This window comes from Homo sapiens, chromosome 10 (genome assembly GCF_000001405.40).
Source record: "Homo sapiens chromosome 10, GRCh38.p14 Primary Assembly".
In the NCBI taxonomy this organism is placed as follows: Eukaryota; Metazoa; Chordata; class Mammalia; order Primates; family Hominidae; genus Homo; species Homo sapiens.
The window spans coordinates 48,822,613-48,840,533 of NC_000010.11; the positions used below are offsets into that span (position 1 = coordinate 48,822,613).

The window sequence follows — 17,921 nt, forward strand, 5'->3', positions numbered from 1 at the left end:
CTGGATCTGCCCTCCCTCCCTGGAGTAGAATCTGAGCCAGGTGGGAGGAAGCAGGAGGCCCTTTAGTCCCAGGTAATACCTGGAGGCTACTGCATGTCCAGCAGGGCTCTCACCTCAGGCCCCCTGAGCCCAGTCCCAGGGATTGGAAGCCTCAGCTCCCTGCACTTGCACCTGAGCTCTGTAAACTCCTAGAACCTGCTTCCTTCCCTTTGGGTTTTTATTGTGATTGTTGGTTTGACCTTAATTGTTATTATACCTCCTCAGCTAAGAAAGGACCACAAAGGCCTTTGTCTTCACAAGACCTATTTTATTTTCTTCTTTAATACTCACTCTGTTGTATTTGTGCCTTCCTGCAGTGGAGACAGGCATCTATTTTAACCTTGTCTTTTTATTCTTGCCTGTGCCCTTTCTTTCCAGATAAACAGGTATAGTTACATACCTACCTGTACAAATGCATACCTGTAGGGCCATCATTGAATGTAGGTGTATGTATGTGCATGCATATACACACAGAGAGAATCGTACAATCTCAAAATTCCAGCATTGAAAGAGACCTTTTTTTTTTTTAGATCTCAGCCCCATTACAAGCTAGAGACTTTTCCTGACAAGCCTCCAGGAAACCTTTGCTCAAACCCTCCCTGTGATGGGGAACCCCCTAAAATTCAAGTTGTCCCACCCAGGGGGATGTCTGTGATTCTTGGAAAGAACTTTCTGTTATCAAGCTGGGATCTACCTCCAGCAACTCCTGCCAGCAGTCCTGGTTATGCCCTCTGCAGCAGAATTAGGAGGACCACTCTCCTTCCTCTTCACATCTCATAGAGAGTGAAATTGGCTCCCAGCACCCTTCTGACTGCAGAGTCACCCACAGACCTCAGGACTGGGCCTCTTCACAGTTTCTAGAGCCATCTTCACTTGTCTGATGAGCAGGTCCAAGCAAACCTGGAAAGACTTGAATTCAAAGGCTTCTTCAGGAACAACTCCAAGAGAGGAGAAATAGCCCTTGTCAGCTCTGTGAGGGTTAAAATCAGATTCCTGGCAAGTTGTGTTGTAAATGGAAAGAAGCTGCTGAGCTCCCTATGGCTAAAGCATGGACTCCCAGCTAATATCCCAAACATAGGTGCCAGTGGGGGCCACCGTGCTTTCAGGGGGACCAGGCCTGAGGGCTCGGCTCCCCACATATCCACCAGCCTCCTCTCTTGCTTGCTGTCTGTGATGCCTGCCCCTCTTAACCTCTGTTTGAGACCCATCTGAGGAGCAGGAGAGGAACATGATAAAGAAATGAATCCCAAACCCCAACAGGTTTAAACAGACCTTCACTTCATGAGTAGAAACATTGCGTTACCTGTGAAATTCTAAGGGAGTAGCCTATAACAAATTCATTTTCTATCGGACTGAAAAACTTTGTGCATACTCTTTGTATTATGGATTCTTTTCATGGAAGCCAAACAGATGTTTGGAGATGTATGGACCAGTCCATGCTAAGGCTACAAATCAGGGTCTTCTACTTCTCCCTCTAAGTTTCTTTTGAATTAAAATCTTCTGGACTCCGTCTCCAGTAGATGATATGGTGGTTAAGAGCGTGGCTTAAGTGTCCAGTGTGTGTTTGACCCTTGCTGAACCACCCAGCCTCTCTGACCCTTAGCCTCTTATCCGTACAGTGGGGTAACTTAGCGTCTATGGTGTTTTTATGACAAACAGGCAATATATGCAAATCTGTGCAAAATGCTTAGCATAATACCTGGAATACTATAAGTATTCTATGATAACCATTAATAATGACACATAGCTATTTTTTAAATTAGATACTACTAATAGCATGTTCTCATACATTGAATGTCAATCATGTTACCATTATTTCAGAAATCTCGGGTCACCAAATCTATTTTCTGTAATATGACTGTAACAAACTTTCAACTTTTTTTAACACAAATTTTCACCCAAATTCTGCATAGCCTTGATTGATCATTTCCTTAAATAGAGGCTTGAAAGTAGAGGAAATGAGTCCTATTAGAATTTCAGGTCATGTCAATTTTTTTTTAAAAGACAAAGTTCCTGCCCTGTCTTCCAGGTTGGAGTGCAGTGGCATGATGGAGTGCAGTTCACCTCAGCCTCGAAATCCTGGGCTCAAGCAATCCTCCCATCTCAGCCTCCAAGTAGCTAGGACTACAGACATGTACCACCTTGCCTGGATAAATTTTTTTTTAACTTTTTGGAAAGATAGGGTCTTACTATGTTGCTGCCCAGACTGGTCTTGAACACCTGTCCTCAAGAGATCTTCTTATCTTGGTCTCCTAAAGTGCTAGCAGTACAGATGTGAGCCACCATACCCAGCCATGTCACTTTTATTTTTATTTCCAAGTTCCAGGGTACATGTGCAGGATGTGCAGGTTTGTTACATAGGTAAATGTGTGTCACAGTGGTTTGCTGCACCTATCAATGCATCACCTAGGTATTAAGCCCAGCATGAATTAGCCATTTTTCCTAATGCTCTCCCTCTCCCCACCCCACCCACTGACAGGCCCCAGTGTGTGTTGTTCCTCTCCCTGTATCCATGTGTTCTCATTGTTCAGCTCACACTTTAAGTGAGAACATGTGGTATTTAGTTTTTTGTTCTTGTGTTAGTTTGCTGAGGATAATGGCTTCCATCTCCATCCATGTCACTGCAAAGGACATGATCTCATTCCTTTTTATGGCTCATAGTATTCCATGGTATATATACACCATATTTTCTTTATCCAATCTATCATTGATAGACATTTGGGTTGATTCCATGTCTTTGCTATTGTGAATAGTGCTGCAATGAACATACGCGTGCATGTATTTTTGTAACAGGATAATTTATGTTCCTTTGGGTATATACCCAGTAATGGGATTGCTGGGTCAAATGGTGTTTCTAGTTCTAGATCTTTAAGGAATCACCACATCGTCTTCCATGATGGTTGAACAAATTTACATTCCCAACAGTGTAAAAGTGTTCCTATTGCTCTGCAACCTCACCCCATCTGTTGTTTCTTGACTTTTTAATAATCGCCATTCTGACTGGCATGAGATAGTATCTCATTGTGGTTTTGATTTGTATTTCTTGAATGATCAGTGATATGGCACTTTTTTTTTCATATATTTGTTGGCCACCTGAATGTCTTCTTTGGAGAAATGTCTGTTCATGTCCTTTGCTCATTTTTAATGGGGTCGTTTGGTTTTTTCTTATAAATTTGTTAAGTTCCCTGTAGATTCTGGATATTAGACCTTTGTTAGATGGATAGATTCCAAAAATTTTCTCCTACTCTATAGGTTACCTGTTTGCTCTGATGATAGTTTATTTTGCTGTGCAGAAGCTCTTTAGTTTAACTAGATCCCATTGTCAATTTTTGCTTTTGTTGCAACTGCTTTTGACATTTTCGTCATGAAATCTTTGCCTATGCCTATGTCCTGAATGGTATTGCCTAGATTTTCTTCGAGAGGTTTTATAGTTTTGGGTTTTACATTTAAGTCTTTAATCCATCTTGAGTTAATTTTCATATAAGGTATAACGAAGGGGTCCAGTTTCGATTTTCTGTGTACGTCTAGCCAGTTCTCCCAGCACCATTTATTAAATAGGGAATTATTTCCCCATTGCTTGTTTTTGTCAGGTTTGTCGAAGATCAGATGGTTGTAGATGTGTGGTCTTATATCTGAGTTCTCTATTCTGTTCTATTGGTCTATGCGTCTGTTTTTGTACCAATTCTGTACAAAAACAGTACACTGTTTGGTAACTGTAGTCTCATAGTATAGTTTGAAGTCAGGTAGCATGATGCCTCCAGCTTTGTTTTTTTTGCTTTGGATTGTCTTGGCTATATGAGCTCTTTTTTGGCTCCATATGAATTTTAAAATAGTTTCTTCTAATTCTGTGAAGAATATCAATGGTAGTTTAATGGGAATAGCATTGAATCTATAAATTACTTTGGGCGGTAAGCCATGTCACTTTTTGATTATACTATTTTTGTGGTAAACTGGATCTGTATCTAAAATTGTAAAGCACTCACAAGTTTGTGTATGTGTATGTTTTTTTAATGACACAGGTCATTGAGACTGCCTCTTCTCAAAGGGACACTGTCCTCAGCACTTTATACAGCAGTTTAAATAAAGTCATTCTTTATTGCCTATCCAAGCCCCAGCAGTCCCTCTCCGAATGCCTCGGCCTTCTCAGCATCCTGGGCTTTCTGCAGGAGCACTGGGATGTTGTCTTTGCCACCTACAATTCCAACATCAGCTTCCTCCTGTGTCTCATGCATTGCCTTTTGCTACTCAATGAGAGAAGGTAAGAGCTGCCCACTTGTTTCCTTGTCTGCTGGTGGTCCATGCAGAAAGGAGAGATTTAGAGGAAAGCTTGATTGAGGACTGAGTTCTGTATAAATGATATCATCCTTTTGTTTATCTGGTCTTCCATATTTTGTGAAATGTTTGATAACATGGTAAGTAATCCCCAAACTTGTCCATGTGACAGCAGTTAGAATCATCATGAGATAATAATTTACCCTATTTCCACAATTCTAGGATTGTAAGATAAGTCATTGATTTAATTTTTGAGGCAGAAAATGCCAACATTAGATGTACACATTGATTTTGTGATGCAGCCAGACTCTAGAAGCATTATCATTTGATAATTGCAATCTTAGAAAGGAAAAAATATAATACATTGTATTGTGCAATGCAGGAATAATTTTGCTTTCAGGAAAAAAATTACATATGCATACAATGTATGACATAAAATCACATCCATAAAAATGCTAGTTAAAAAGCTATTAAATTAAGCTTATTTGAGTCCTTTTCTTGAAGCCCCAAGTTTGGAAATACATCAGATTTCCAAATCTGAATGTGGTTCATGCACACTGACACAGAGAGAGAGACAGGAATTATGTTCACTTTCTGTCTCTCTCTCTCCGTGTCAGTGTGCATGAACCACATTCTCCAGCATCTCAGCATCCTGCTGGCTGTGAGTATGATGTCTTATGAATAGAGCCGTGAGAGTGTAGAGGGAGAGAGGACAATGGGATATCACACTTTGCTGTTGTCCTTTTTCTTCATTTTATTCATCCTAACAAAAATTATGTTTGATCACTTGAAAAAAAAACAATCCCCCACATCCTGTAGTGTTGACTACTGAGCAGTACAAAACACTAGCATTGACTTCTCATAAAACTCTCTGGGAAGCCCTGGGAAACCCTCCTAGCCCAGAGAGGCACTTGTCTTTGTATGAAAGAAAATAATCCATTTTCAGTATGTGGTTTAATTTGGGGAAGTTTTTTTTTTTTCTTCCTGTTTCAAGAGTTAGGCCTTGTCCATCCTGGAAGCACAGGTAAAGAGGAGCAGAATGACAACTGAATTATATGCTTGAGATGATACCCTCCTCAGTTCCCTCTGTTTAGCAAGATTGACTTCATTCTAGAAATTTCAAACATGGGCATTCTCATATGTCAGGTTATTTTCCTTTCCATGTTTGTCATTTTCAGTTCAATCCATGAACATTTACTGAGTGTCTGTTTGGTTTGTGTCATAATGGCCACGTGGACGTTAACACAATGGGGACCCCCAGAGCACATGGTTCATGGGAAACCTAATGTATAAACCACTGTGTCCCCACTTACAACTGGCTACATCATATGTGAGGCCTCCAGCAAAATTAAAATGCTAGGCTTGTGTCCAAAAATACCCAAAATTTCAAGATGATGACAGCAGAGCCCCAAAAAAGGGTTCTTCTAAGTGCAGGGCCCTGTGTAATTGCACAGGTTGCACGCCCATGAAGCCAACCCTGGCCCCATTCAAGCAGGATGAAATCAATGCCAAACAAAGGCAGGGTTCAATTCTTTGGGAAGGCACTGAAAGAAATGACTAGTTTTGATGGCGGGGAATCAGGAGTGGGCACAGGGGGACTGCTGGCAGCACAGGTGGGATTTCACAAGACTTCTCATAAGGAGAAAGTGTTTCTCCTACTATTCAGAATGCCACTCTAAAATATCTGCTGTGGAATTTCTTATAAAGTGTTTGCTTTAATTTGATTAGGCAAGTTTTTTTCCATATTGATATAGATAATTATTGGAGGATGATTATTTGTAATAAAGAACAATAGAATGGTCTCAAGGAAACTGGAATTTATTGGATTTTAGTGAAAAATCTCTTATCCACTAGTTACCCAGAAGGATTTGGATTGGAGCCCAAGCCTAGAATGTCTACTTATCATCAAGTCTTCCTTTCCCCAAATGAAGACGTGAAAGAAAAAAGAGAAGACTTACCAAGTTTGAGTGATGGTACATTTTATTTGTCATTGTGTGTGTGGGCGGGGGGGGGGCGGGGAGGGGGTGGTGGCAGGATAGTGGTACCTGCTAGGGTTGCATTCTTCAGTTCGTCCTTCCCGAAATAAGAAAGCAGATACTATTAAGGACATTTTCAAAAAGCCAGAAGACTTAGGAAATCCTAGGGTAATCATGTATTAGTATATAGCAAGGCAAGCTGGTAGAAAGTAACACTGGATTGGTCTTTGTATACTAGAAATGAAATGGAAAGGAATGAATCGATGCATAGGTGAAGAGAAAGCTCCATGGGACTTGGTTTGACTAGAAGCTTAATCCCAGGGTACTCTACGGTAAATTAAAACTGTCACTCCCCATCTCACCTAATTTAGTTCAAGCCATTACCTAGTTGCTGCTCAGCTTCATTCCCTAGTAAATGAGAAGGGATTAAACAAACCCATTACTCTCTATAAGACTTTTTGCCTAATGGAGTTTATTCTTGGATTTACTAATCTCAAATCAAGTTAAAGGGATTAGCAGTTATTTTTCTAGCAGCCAGTTCTATGTGTTTGAGAGATTATGCTCTCTCTTGGTCTAGGAAGCAGAAGCTCTGCCACTCCTTCTGCCAGTCTGGTTTGCAGACTGTTACACTTACCTAGTCATATGTTGTAATACAAGATTGTACACACGACCAGGTGCAGTGGCTTACACCTGTAACCCCAGCACTTTGGGAGGCCAAGGCGGGTGGATCACCTAAGGTCAGGAGTTCAAGACCAGCCTGCCCAACATGCTGAAAGCCTGTCACTACTAAAAATACAAAAAAATTAGCTGGGCATAGTGGCGGGCACCTGTAATCCCAGCTACTCGGGAGGCTGAGGCAGGAAAATCACTTGAACCTGGGAGGAGGAGGTTGCAGTGAGCCAAGATCACACCACTGCACTCCAGCCTAGGCAACAAGAGTAAAACTTCATCTCAAAAATAAAAGATTGTACACACAGGGCCTCTGTGTTCTGGTCAGGTAGCTGCCATGCTCAAAAATCTCGTGACTTTGAAGTTTGTTGGACATGGTTTTGATTACAACACAGAGGTACATACTTTGGGACTTGGCCAGTAGAGCTGGGCTGGGCACTGTCCATTCCCTTAGGGTGAGAGAAACAGTCTCCAGGGGCTGTTACCAGAGAGGGGACTCATTGGTCCAAGATCAGAGAAAATTTAGGCATGGTTCAGGGGATTACAGATGTGGGGCACAGCAGACACAGTTGGTTTGTTAGATCTGCTTATACCTGAAGAATTCCAGGGGACTGAAATGGGTGGGTAGTGAGAAGCAAGGTCCAGGAAAGAGGACAGGCTGTTCCTGAGCCGTGAGCCACAGGATAGTCTTGAGCTTGGTGTCCATTCCCCTGAGAGGTCAACATGTAAGGGAAGGTTGGAAGGAGCTGTTTGAGTGGAGCTATTTGACTACCCTGAGATCACACAAGGTGTCCCTCTGGTATCCAACAGAATTATGGGGTGGAGAGTTGAGGGTCTCTGAGCTCATAAATGATATGTTTCCCAGTCCTGGACATGTGAGGCAGGCAGGAATTGGTGGTAAGCAGGTGGAGGTGGAGAAAGGCCAGCTTGCATGGGTGTTGGTGGCATTGTTGTCAGGCCTGTGGCTCTCAGTACTGATTGCTTCTCGCTGAAGCTTGCAAAGCTGGGGTGATGTTCAAGACCTTAAGTGAGAAGGGTGTGGGTAAAACCACTCATGATGCACCATCTCCCAGCCCTCTCTGGGAGGGTCACTGAGGCCATCCTGAGTGTGCCATGTGCTCTCTCTGCTAGTCCAACACAACATCCAGAAGACAGTGCAGACTCTCTGGCAGCAGCTGGTGGCACAAAGGCAGCAGACCCTGGAGGATGCCTTCAAGATCGATCTCTCTGTGAAACCTGGAGAGAGGGAAGTGAAGATTGAAGAGGTCACACCGCTCTGGGAGGAGACGATGCTCAAGGCCTGGCAGCATTACTTAGGTCTCTATCCACTCGGCTCCAGGGAATGGGAACTCCTGGGTCTCACAGAGCCAGACTCCCGCAAGGTTCAACTCAGTGCCTAGAGCCTTTTCCACCTGGACCCTCTGTCTCATCCCTTAAGTGGATGGGATTTATATCACTGAAATCTTATGTATCTTTCCTCACAAATAATGAATATCACATGGCACCTTGGGTGAAAGCAAGGCCACAGGAGCCAACCAAGCAGGAAGATTCCAGTAATTTCTTAGAGGAAGAGGCCCATGTGGAGGCTGTGGCCTGGGCTCAGGAACTTGAGGTTCTAGGTCCTACCCTGTTATCCACCGACCAGCTTTGAAACCTTTCACTGTCATGCAATGTCCTTGAGCTTAGGTTCCTCATGTCCTGTCACTTCATGAAATGAAAGTTTTCATCCCCAAAATATTAATGTCCCTTGCATTCTATTCTGTTAGTGACCTCAACATTTTTATCATATTAGTATTTGGTACTAATAAACAACATTTTTGCATATTAGTCAATGCAACTGCAAGAATGAATTTTTAATTTTGTTTTCAAGGTGATCACTGCTCTCAACTTACACCTCCTATACTTGTACATCTTCCAGAATCACAAAATGTGCAGTGATTCAAGAGTTAGTTATTTCCATGTATATTGTCCCAGACTGTCCAGTGGCCCAGAATCTCCTTCTAAATTGGCTTTATAAATTAGTCCTGGCAAGTGTATATATACATATCTGGTTTTGTCCATTTATGCTGCTATAACAAAATACCACAGACTGAGTGATTTACAAATAATAGAAATTTATTTGCTCAGTTCTGGAGGCTGGGAAGTTCAAAATCAAGGTGCCAGTAGATCTGGTGCCTGCTGAGGGCTGTGTCTGGCATCTGCTTCTAAGATGGTACCTTGTTGCTATATCCTCTGTAAGGGAGAAATGCTGTGTCCTCCCATGTTGGAAGAGACAGAAGGGCAAAAATGGCCTGGGATGGCCCCCTTCAGCTTTTTTATAAGACACTAATTCATTCATGAGCGTAGAACCCTCATATTTTAATCACCTCCCAAAAGGTCCCACTTCTTAGTACCACCACAATTGGGATTAAGTTTCAACATGAATTTTGGAGGGAACACACATTCAAACGATAGCAATACCTGTCTACTTTCATGTACTTTTAAAGTCAAAATGTCAGATTCTATTTCAGAGAAAAGTAAAATAGGATATACATATCCATGCACATAGAGTGGAATAAAGTAGTAAAACTGTAAAGCTTACAAATGACTCTCTTTTTGCCCACAGTCCTATATTGAATACTTTCTATGTTCCAGGGTCTTTAAACACATCTTATGTAATATTCATGACCCCTCAACTGGTTTAGATATTGTTATCCCCATTTCACAGGATGAGAAAACTGAGGCTCAGCAACTTTAGTTAATCTGCTCAACATCTCATTGTGGATCAACAAGCCGTGGAGCTAGGAGTTTAGGCTAAGTCTGGTGACCTCAAAGCCCACAGTGTTTCTTAGCCAAAGGAAGGTCAGAAGACGGCAGTGTGAGCTTGTAGCCTGGGTTGTTTCTCTTTTTGGAGGCAACCACAGGGGGCTCATGCCCCTGGCTGGCCCTTTGAAAGCCAAGCTAGCTATAAAAATAGTGTGTGCTCTCACTTCACCTCTGACATTCTTTGCTTCCCTTCCCTCAGCATCTGAGAAGAAGTCACTGGCAAGTCGTTCAAATGTTGCACACCACAGCAAAGTCACTTTGTGGAGTGGAAGCCTGTCCTCAGCCATGAAGCTGATGCCCGGGCGGCAGGCCAAGGACCCTGAGTGCAAGACAGAGGTGAGCCCAGACCCCTTTTCCTCAGAAAAGTATCAGGCATTTGCTTCAAACCCCATGAGTCATATCTCTTCTTTGCTGCCTGTTACTAGACATGATCTAACTCCACGTCCTTGTGAGCATTTGAGGGTATGCATGTAGCTCCCCAGTGGAGGCTATGTTTAGGCTGTATTAGGCTGGCTCCTTGTTCCCATTCTCAACTGGAGTCAGATGTATTCAGAGGGCACTAGCCCACCACTCAGCAGCAGCTAGGGGTGTGAGCCCAGCAAAGGTGGACAGAAACATTCACTTCATTGCCAGGAGACACAGGGTTGGGCCACTTTGACTGTGTTGGGTAGGCCCTCTTTACTGTGTGGGGCAGACCCGTTGGGATTTTCTAATCAGTTTCTCAAAACCTGCAAAACAAGTCTTCCTAAAACTCATTGGCACCAACAATGTGTGTGTGTGTGTGTGTGTGTGTGTGTGTGAGAGAGAGAGAGAGAGAGAGAGAGATCAGGAACGTTGTTGTAAGGTATATGGAGTACGGTGGGTGGGGGGACAGGTTATCTCTGCCCCACAGTGTCTGGGGCCTCAGTTGGGATCGTTGGAAGGCTGAGTTACTCATATATCTGGTGGTTGGTGCTGGCTTTAGTCTGAGACCTTAAGGGGGGCTATTGGCTGGAACACCTACACATGGCCTCCTCATGTGAACTGGGCTTCCTTACAGCATGGTAGCAGGGTTTCAAAAGATAATGGAGAGAGAGAGCTCATCAGGCAGAAACTGCATTACCTTTTATGACCTAGCTTCAGGAGCCATGCAGTGTCACCTCCATCAAGATGGGGAAAAAATTCTGCCCAAGTTCAAGGGAAGGGAAATAGACTCCACCTTCTCATGGGGGAGTGACGAGGTTCTGCAGGAACATGTGGGACTGGAAATGTTGCTGAGGCTCTTTTGGAAATGCATGATCTGTGATATATTCTAATGCCAGTGATATATTCTAATCCCAGGGGCACTGACTTCTTCAGAGGTGGACTGTGGTTTTTGCTAGACATGGCTGTAGGGTCAGGAGACCTTGGGCAGTTTACTTAACTCCCCAGTGGGATAAATAACTGTGAGAACCCAGAAAGGTTCCCCAGGGAGGTAAAGTAGACAGCTGACAGACACATTAACATAATCCCAGCTCTTGGCCCATGAACTTCGGGAAATGAGGTGGAGCCTAAATCCCACCAGCTCAGAATCTGTAACTGCCTGTAAGTGCCCAGGCAGCCGAGGAAAAGGCCTTTCTTTTCCCAGGCTTTGGGAATCATAGGCTTCAGGGCCTAGAAAGAGTCCAGACATAGAAGGGAAGTCCAGAAATGAATGGCTGGGCTGACCAGCTACCTGATGCTAAGAGCTAAGGGCAAAGCACATGTCTTATTCAGGCTGTATTCTCAGGGAATTGACTTGTTAAAGGCACTGTTCAATAAGTTCATTGATAGACTCACTGATTGAATACGTGAATGTGTGAGTAACTCACTCAGATTTTGTAATAGCTGCATCAGACAGGTATTATAGCCTTGTTATAAAAATGTGGAAGCTGAATCTGAAAAAAAAAAAGAAAGTTAAGGGCTTTTCAGTCATTAAATGTCAGAGTGAAGATAGGATCCCATCTTTGTGCTGCTGAGGAGGACCTTAGGGAATTTATGGAACCTCTCAGAGCTTTCATTCCTGAACTTACCACTGGGAATATGCTCTGTTTATAATAGAGCATGTGGAGCCCTTGGAAGCTGTAAATGCTTTAGAAATAGGAGACTGTTTACAAATTCCATTTGGCCTTCTAGCTCTCTCTGCCAAGGTCAAGATCATCCTATAGGTGATATGTGTACCAAGTCCTAAAACTTGGAGCATTCCCACTTGTGCCCATATACCTGCTCCTGACCAGTGTCACTTGAGACAGAAGGGGCCCAGCCCCTCTTTCCTTGGCTTCATCATGGAGCTTCTCTTCCTTGGCCATTGTCCCCAGGAGGTCAGGACAGCCTGGCTGGGAGCTAGGGAAGGAATGTTAGGGTGCTGGGCATGGGCATTCATCTCATGGGAACCCTCACACCTGTTGATGCTGCCTCTTGCCAATGCCCTTCTCCCTTCCCCTCTAGTCACTCTCATTGATACAGCTCAGCTGCCTCCGAGTCCTGGGGACATGCATTGAGCAACAGTTCGTATGAAAGAAGGCTGAGTAGACCACCATGTTTAGGGCCACATAGGTGTCCCAAGTGGCTTTTAACAGTTTGCTCTTGGCTCACATTGAGAGATCTGGGAGAAAGAATATCCAAAGCCGGCTCTGTCTTGGGTGAGGGCAGGCTGCTGAAGATTTTGTCTTCTATATCCATTGAGGTCTTATTCACTTGTTCATTCAACAAATATTTATTGAGCACTTACTCTGTACCCTGCTCTCAGCATTGAGGTTACAGCAGAGAACAAAACTGACATATTCTCTTCTCTCAAGGAGCTGCAGTCTGGGAAGTAAGATAGACAATAAGCAAATACAGTTGTAAATATTGGGAGAACTGATGGCAATGAGAAAAAACAATGCAGGGTAAGGCAGGGAGGGGGGCGAGAGAGGGGCTGGGCTTGTTCAGATGGAGAAGGTCAGCAAAGTCATCTTTGGCAAGGATGCCTTGGAGCAGAGGAGATAATTTATGAAGAACATGAGCTTTGAGATGCTCTGGGAAAGAGGATCAGGCAGAGAGGACAGTTGGGCAATGGCACTGAGGTGCATGTGTGCTGGGCAGCAAAGGCCAGTGTGGCTGAACTGAAGTGGAGGGAGTCACCCGCAGCCACCCCAGCTTCCAGGCAGCCACGGGGAATGTCTCCCTCACCTTTTAGCACCAGGAAGAACTACTTTCAGCAACTCAAGAAGAGCAGAAATTTTGCAACAGATTATGTTTCTGTCTTTGATCTGGACACTCAGAAACTGAGAGAGATAAGCATGGTTAAGCTTTTGTAATTGCACACAACTAGTGGGATAAATTTTTGAGCCACCTACGCATACAAATGCATACATACATACCCTCTCCCTGGCTTCATTCTTCTCCACTGACCCCACTTTCCCTTCAATTTGATTTTTTCTTTCTACACTTTAAATTATCTTGTAGATTTTAAAAGACACATTATTTTGGAAACAAGGACTATGTTTTAATTTTTAAAATTAACTGCATCTTTGCTTAGCAACATCTTGTACTGGTAACTAAGTCTTGGATGGGCACAGTGCCTGCTACACGGTAGGCCCTTAAAGAATGCAGATGGAAGTGCTTAGAGCAAGGGGATAGATGCTCCCCCTCCTTTTGCTGAGATGAAACTTGCCAGCTTTCAGACACTGCATCCATCACTCAACTCTGTGAGATGCCTTTGTCGCTAACAGAAGGCACAACTTCTCAGGTACATATGTACACTGTGATGTCATAGGATAAGAGCATCAACTATTTGCCCTGGGGTCTGTTTAATTATTTTTAAAAATTAATTTTGATTATTACAGCTGATTACACCTCAGTGAGCAATGTAATTGATATTTTCTAATGTATCCCAAGGAACATTTTGTACAACATGCTTTTTGTTGTTGAAGGTTAAAGACTCCGTTATTGGTTTTTCCCTAAATATGCCCACATCATTAGTCCCTCCAGTGAGAAGGTCGCCATCTGGAAAAAGCAGCACGGAGACATTATTCAGGCACAAGTGCATGAAATTGGGGTTTCTGCATCTTCTGTCTCTCTTCTGGAAAGAAGAGGCTTGTAATTAAAGGAGTTGGTGTTGGAGGAAACATTATTCATTTGGTGTTATTCCTTATCATGTCAGCAGCTGATAGCCCTATAGCACTGATAAATTGTTCCTTGGAGTGAGACATATGATATAGAATTCATAATTCCTCTTACCTATCTTCATTTTCAGTAGAAAATGTTTTATTCCTGGTGGGTGAGCTGAACTTTGAGGCAGGGCTGATTTGATAGATGTTATTTCTTCTTCTTCTCCCCCTGACCCCATCACAGTCCCCTGTGGGAGCAAATTGTGACATCACCCACTATCTCTAGAAGGCTGTGAGTGTCAGCTTGTTGGACAGAGGTTGGGAACTTGGACTCCCTTGAGGCCACCAAAGGGCAACTCAGGGTGCAGGCCACTTTCTCATGTCCACCATCTGCCTGGAGAATCCAGACTGCACAGGGTGGCCAGCTCCCCTCTTCACAGCCGTGGATTCAGCTCTGCTTACGTACTCAATTCCAGACTTCCTTGTTTAAAAACAGCTGAAAAGACATCAACAAGCAATGTTGGTTTCTTAGTTTTGACAGGTACACCATGGCAATGTGGGATGTTAATAACTTTATAGGAAAACAGGTGAAGGGTAGATGAAAACTCTCTACTATCTTTGTAACTTTTATGAAAATTGAAAATATTCTAAAATGCAATGTGTGTCATCATCTGTTTATATAAAAGCATTAGCAATCAGAAAATGTGCATAGGAGTCAGGGGGCTGGAAGCTGGTTAGGAAGGGGCCATGGAGGAGGTGACGCCTAGAGCTGAGTCTGGGAGGAGGAAGGTCAAAGCCTGTGCAGAGGAGAGCTCTCGGGCAGGGAGAAGGCCAGAGACATAACAGGTGGTAAGAAAGGGGCCAAGGCAGTGGGTAAAAGCCAGGTCAGGGGGTACCACAGGCCAGCCTAGACACTCATGTTTACCTGTAGGTGAGAGGTTAAACAGAGTCATGGCATCTGCTCCTATAGGTGAGATTACAGGTGAGGGCCCCTGGTGGGGAGCCAAACTGTGGGTGACAGGGGGCTGTAGTGTGATTCAGGTGGGAGATAGTGGGGGCTGCAGTAGCTGTAGCTGGAGTAGTGAACAGCGATAACACACAGAAAATTCTGTTCAAGTGAGGCTGGGACAGGTGAGAAAAGAGGGCCACCCAGGGCAGGCCTGGCTCTGAGAAGAGACAGCACCTGGGGGTGGGAAGTCTGGCATTCAGATGGCTCTGTGGGATTCCACAGAGAGTGGAGAAAAATAAGAACCAGAGGAATGGGGTTGAGAGTACAAGGTGACTTCCAGCCCTTAAAGGGGTGGGAGCCTCTCTGGGCAGCCCCCGACCTGTGTACATAGAGCATAAGCTGGATTTCAGCCCACTTTCCTCCTGGGATCAACTGTATACATATGGACAGCTATCCCAGGCAGTGGGCCAGGCAGGCCCCATCAGAGGAGGGGGACCCACTCACCAGCCTGCCAGCAAAGATTGGGGGACTTATAGAAGAACAGGATTCACACGGAGGAGGGCAGAGCCCTGTGTTCCCCACAATTCCATGGCTTTAGGAGATAGCTGAGCAAGCTTCCAGTTGCTGTTTTCAAAGCCAGGTATTAGCAAACTGAAATGGCCCATGCAGGGAAGTCAGGGCTGTGTAAGAATTAACAGAATGGGATGAGAGGGCACCAGAAGCGTGAGGATGATCCGCTGGAATTGCTAAAAAAAGCAAAAGCTTTCTGTAGGAATTCTACATCTGCCCTGGCAAGGACAGGGAAACATTAGAAGTTTGCCTCACACCTTTCTTGGGGGTCCCCTAAAGGCTGCCCTATGAGACCTCCAATGAAACCAGCAGTGCCCACCATTGGGCGCCTTGGAGACTTCAGAGGCAGGGCACTTATGTGGGCAGGGTGCCTGGGGTCTGCCATCAGCTCCTTCCCTGACCAGGTGCCAGACCTGCCGTCACCCACCCTAGCATGAAGCAGCTCTGCCCCAGCAGAGGACAAGATGCTGACTGAGGCCAGTAACTCAGTGACAGCTCTGTTAAGGGCAGCTCTGGCTGAGGTCCTCGGTGAGGGAAATGATGTTTTTGACTATCCCCTCTGAGCACTTCACCCATTATCTTTTTGAAAAAAAAATCATTGTGGAAATTCTCAAACATACACATAAGTAGTAAAATAATGTGATGAATCCCCATGTATCTATCCATCACTTGACTTCAACAATTTTCAACTCATGGCCAATTTTCTCTCCTTATGACTTCCCACTTCCCCCCTATGCACTGAATAATTCTGAAGCAACATCCCAGACATCGTATTATTTCATGCATTACTGTTTCTGTATGCTTATTTTCTCTTTAAAGAAATCATGGGGCCCAAATAAAGATTGCAGAGAGGAAAGCAAATGTGCAGAACTGGAAGGCTTTAGCCATCATTGCGGGAGTGATCAAGTAGCACCTGGTCTTGCTTGCTGGCATGTTTGTGTTTGTCTCCTGCTGATGAGAGGAGGGTCTTGCTGAGGCTGAGGGCACGTTGAGCCTTGGAGAATCCCATGCTGCAGTTTCAGGAAGAAAGGCAATAAGCTCTGCGATGACACAGCTGCTTTCTAGTTAAACGCTTGGGCTCTCCATGTTCAGGAGCTGAGCAGCACTCCAGGCACAGGCCTCAGATTTCACTTCCCTGGGATAAAAAGCTCACGAGCCCAGAGAGTACTGGGAGTGAGAATGGATTTTTGAAAATAGAAAGAACTGGTTTGGAATGCAGGGGAAGTAACTGGTACAACAGAGCTGAGCTGAGGATGTCAAAATGCAGTTGTGAAAACAGAAGTCAGAATTCTCAGAGAAATTCTTCTGAAAAAGAGTTAAAGATCTTTAAAAGGTTGCATGACATTTTTAAAATCTGATATTCAGAAGGTCATCGTGTGAAACATTTTTACTTAAAGTTGTAGTAGATTCAACATAATGTTCGTGGGAAAGAGAGAAGGGTCTTCCCCAGGAGATGAATATGACTTTAAGAGAGGGATTTGGAGGTAGGTGGCCTAAACCTGGAGGAAAATGAAGACACATGAGGATTTCTAAAATGCAAGAGTCAGAGGACCCAGAGAGAGGTGAGATCTTGTGATAGGTTCTTACTGGCATGGCAGGAAAGCAGAAAGGCCAGCTTGTATCCACAGATCAAGAGAAAGCAGGCTGGAGGGATAAATTATTAAAAACCACAGAAAAGACAAGGGAGACTCAGAAAACCTGAAAACAGTGTTTCTAAGAAATCACAATGCTGTATTGTTGGAAAACGCAGTTGTATTCAGTGGGAGGAAAAGTCTTTTGAGTACGTAATTAAAGAGGACTATCTGTTAGATAAATAAAACCACTCAGAAAGGAAAGTATAATTTAAAAAACACTTTGAAAAGTATAAACTGCTCTACTGGCGTGAGCCATGTTCTAAGACCTTCTGCTAAATGGAATATTGGTTTTCTTAATTGTGGTGGGCAATGCTGCCAAGGACCTCTTGGCTCTTGGTGCTTTTCCTGAGATAACTGACCCTAAAAATAATGCCTCTCTCCCAGTCTGGCCTGAGAGCTCTTCATCGTACTGTCTGGGCTAGGAATATTTCCAGACGGGATATCCATTATGCTCTGATTATGGTGGTATTTGGGGGCAAGGAAGGAACAAAAATGTAATGAAGTCTAGTGTTATTTTTTAAACCTCAAAAGTTTCTGTTTTCACTTCAACTGAAAGTAAAGTCTATGTGGCCTGTATCATTGCCCTCAGTCTTGCAGGCAGCCGTGCTTCCTACGCCACACCCAGAATGACCTTCCCCAGAGGGACAGAGTCTGGTGATGGAGGTGGGGACACACTGCAGCATCAGGGAAATTCAACCAGCCTGGGGCGGTGGGGAGGGGCTCCATTATCCTTTTAGGTTTTCTGGACACTCAACCAGAGCCTTCTCTCTCATTTTTGCTCTTCCCTTGACACACACACACACATACACATACACACACACACACACACACACCTCTCTCACGCACACACACACACACCCCCACTCTCTTTCTCTCTCTCTCACACACACACACGTGTATATGCACACCCCCACCCACA

The 17,921-nt window shown here is 44.1% G+C and overlaps 1 protein-coding gene and 1 long non-coding RNA gene across 13 annotated transcripts in view; one reads left to right on the top strand and one right to left on the bottom strand.

Moving 5' to 3' along the window:
* WDFY4 (WDFY family member 4) overlaps positions 1 to 17,921 on the top strand; it is a 298,084-nt gene that overhangs the window by 137,740 nt on the left and 142,423 nt on the right. For 10 of the 11 annotated variants that reach the window (XM_011539988.3, NM_001394531.1, XM_017016463.2 and 7 more), the window contains 4 exons: positions 4,059 to 4,297; positions 6,166 to 6,284; positions 8,088 to 8,273; positions 9,961 to 10,097. In XM_011539988.3, the coding sequence (XP_011538290.1) occupies positions 4,059 to 4,297; positions 6,166 to 6,284; positions 8,088 to 8,273; positions 9,961 to 10,097 (681 nt within the window). Of the gene's footprint in view, positions 1 to 569; positions 4,298 to 6,165; positions 6,285 to 8,087; positions 8,274 to 9,960; positions 10,098 to 17,921 lie in introns of those variants that run through there. The other variant, XM_011539991.4, reaches the window with a different exon arrangement.
* Positions 9,051 to 14,089, bottom strand: LOC105378299 (uncharacterized). Of its 2 annotated transcripts, XR_945952.3 has the most exons (6): positions 13,980 to 14,067; positions 12,930 to 13,024; positions 12,490 to 12,566; positions 11,982 to 12,101; positions 11,591 to 11,656; positions 9,051 to 9,188 (listed from the first exon to the last, which is right to left on the bottom strand). It is a non-coding gene; the product is annotated as an uncharacterized LOC105378299 (long non-coding RNA). The 2 variants fall into 2 exon arrangements; XR_945951.3 differs by lacking the exon at positions 11,982 to 12,101 and having other exon boundaries at positions 13,980 to 14,089.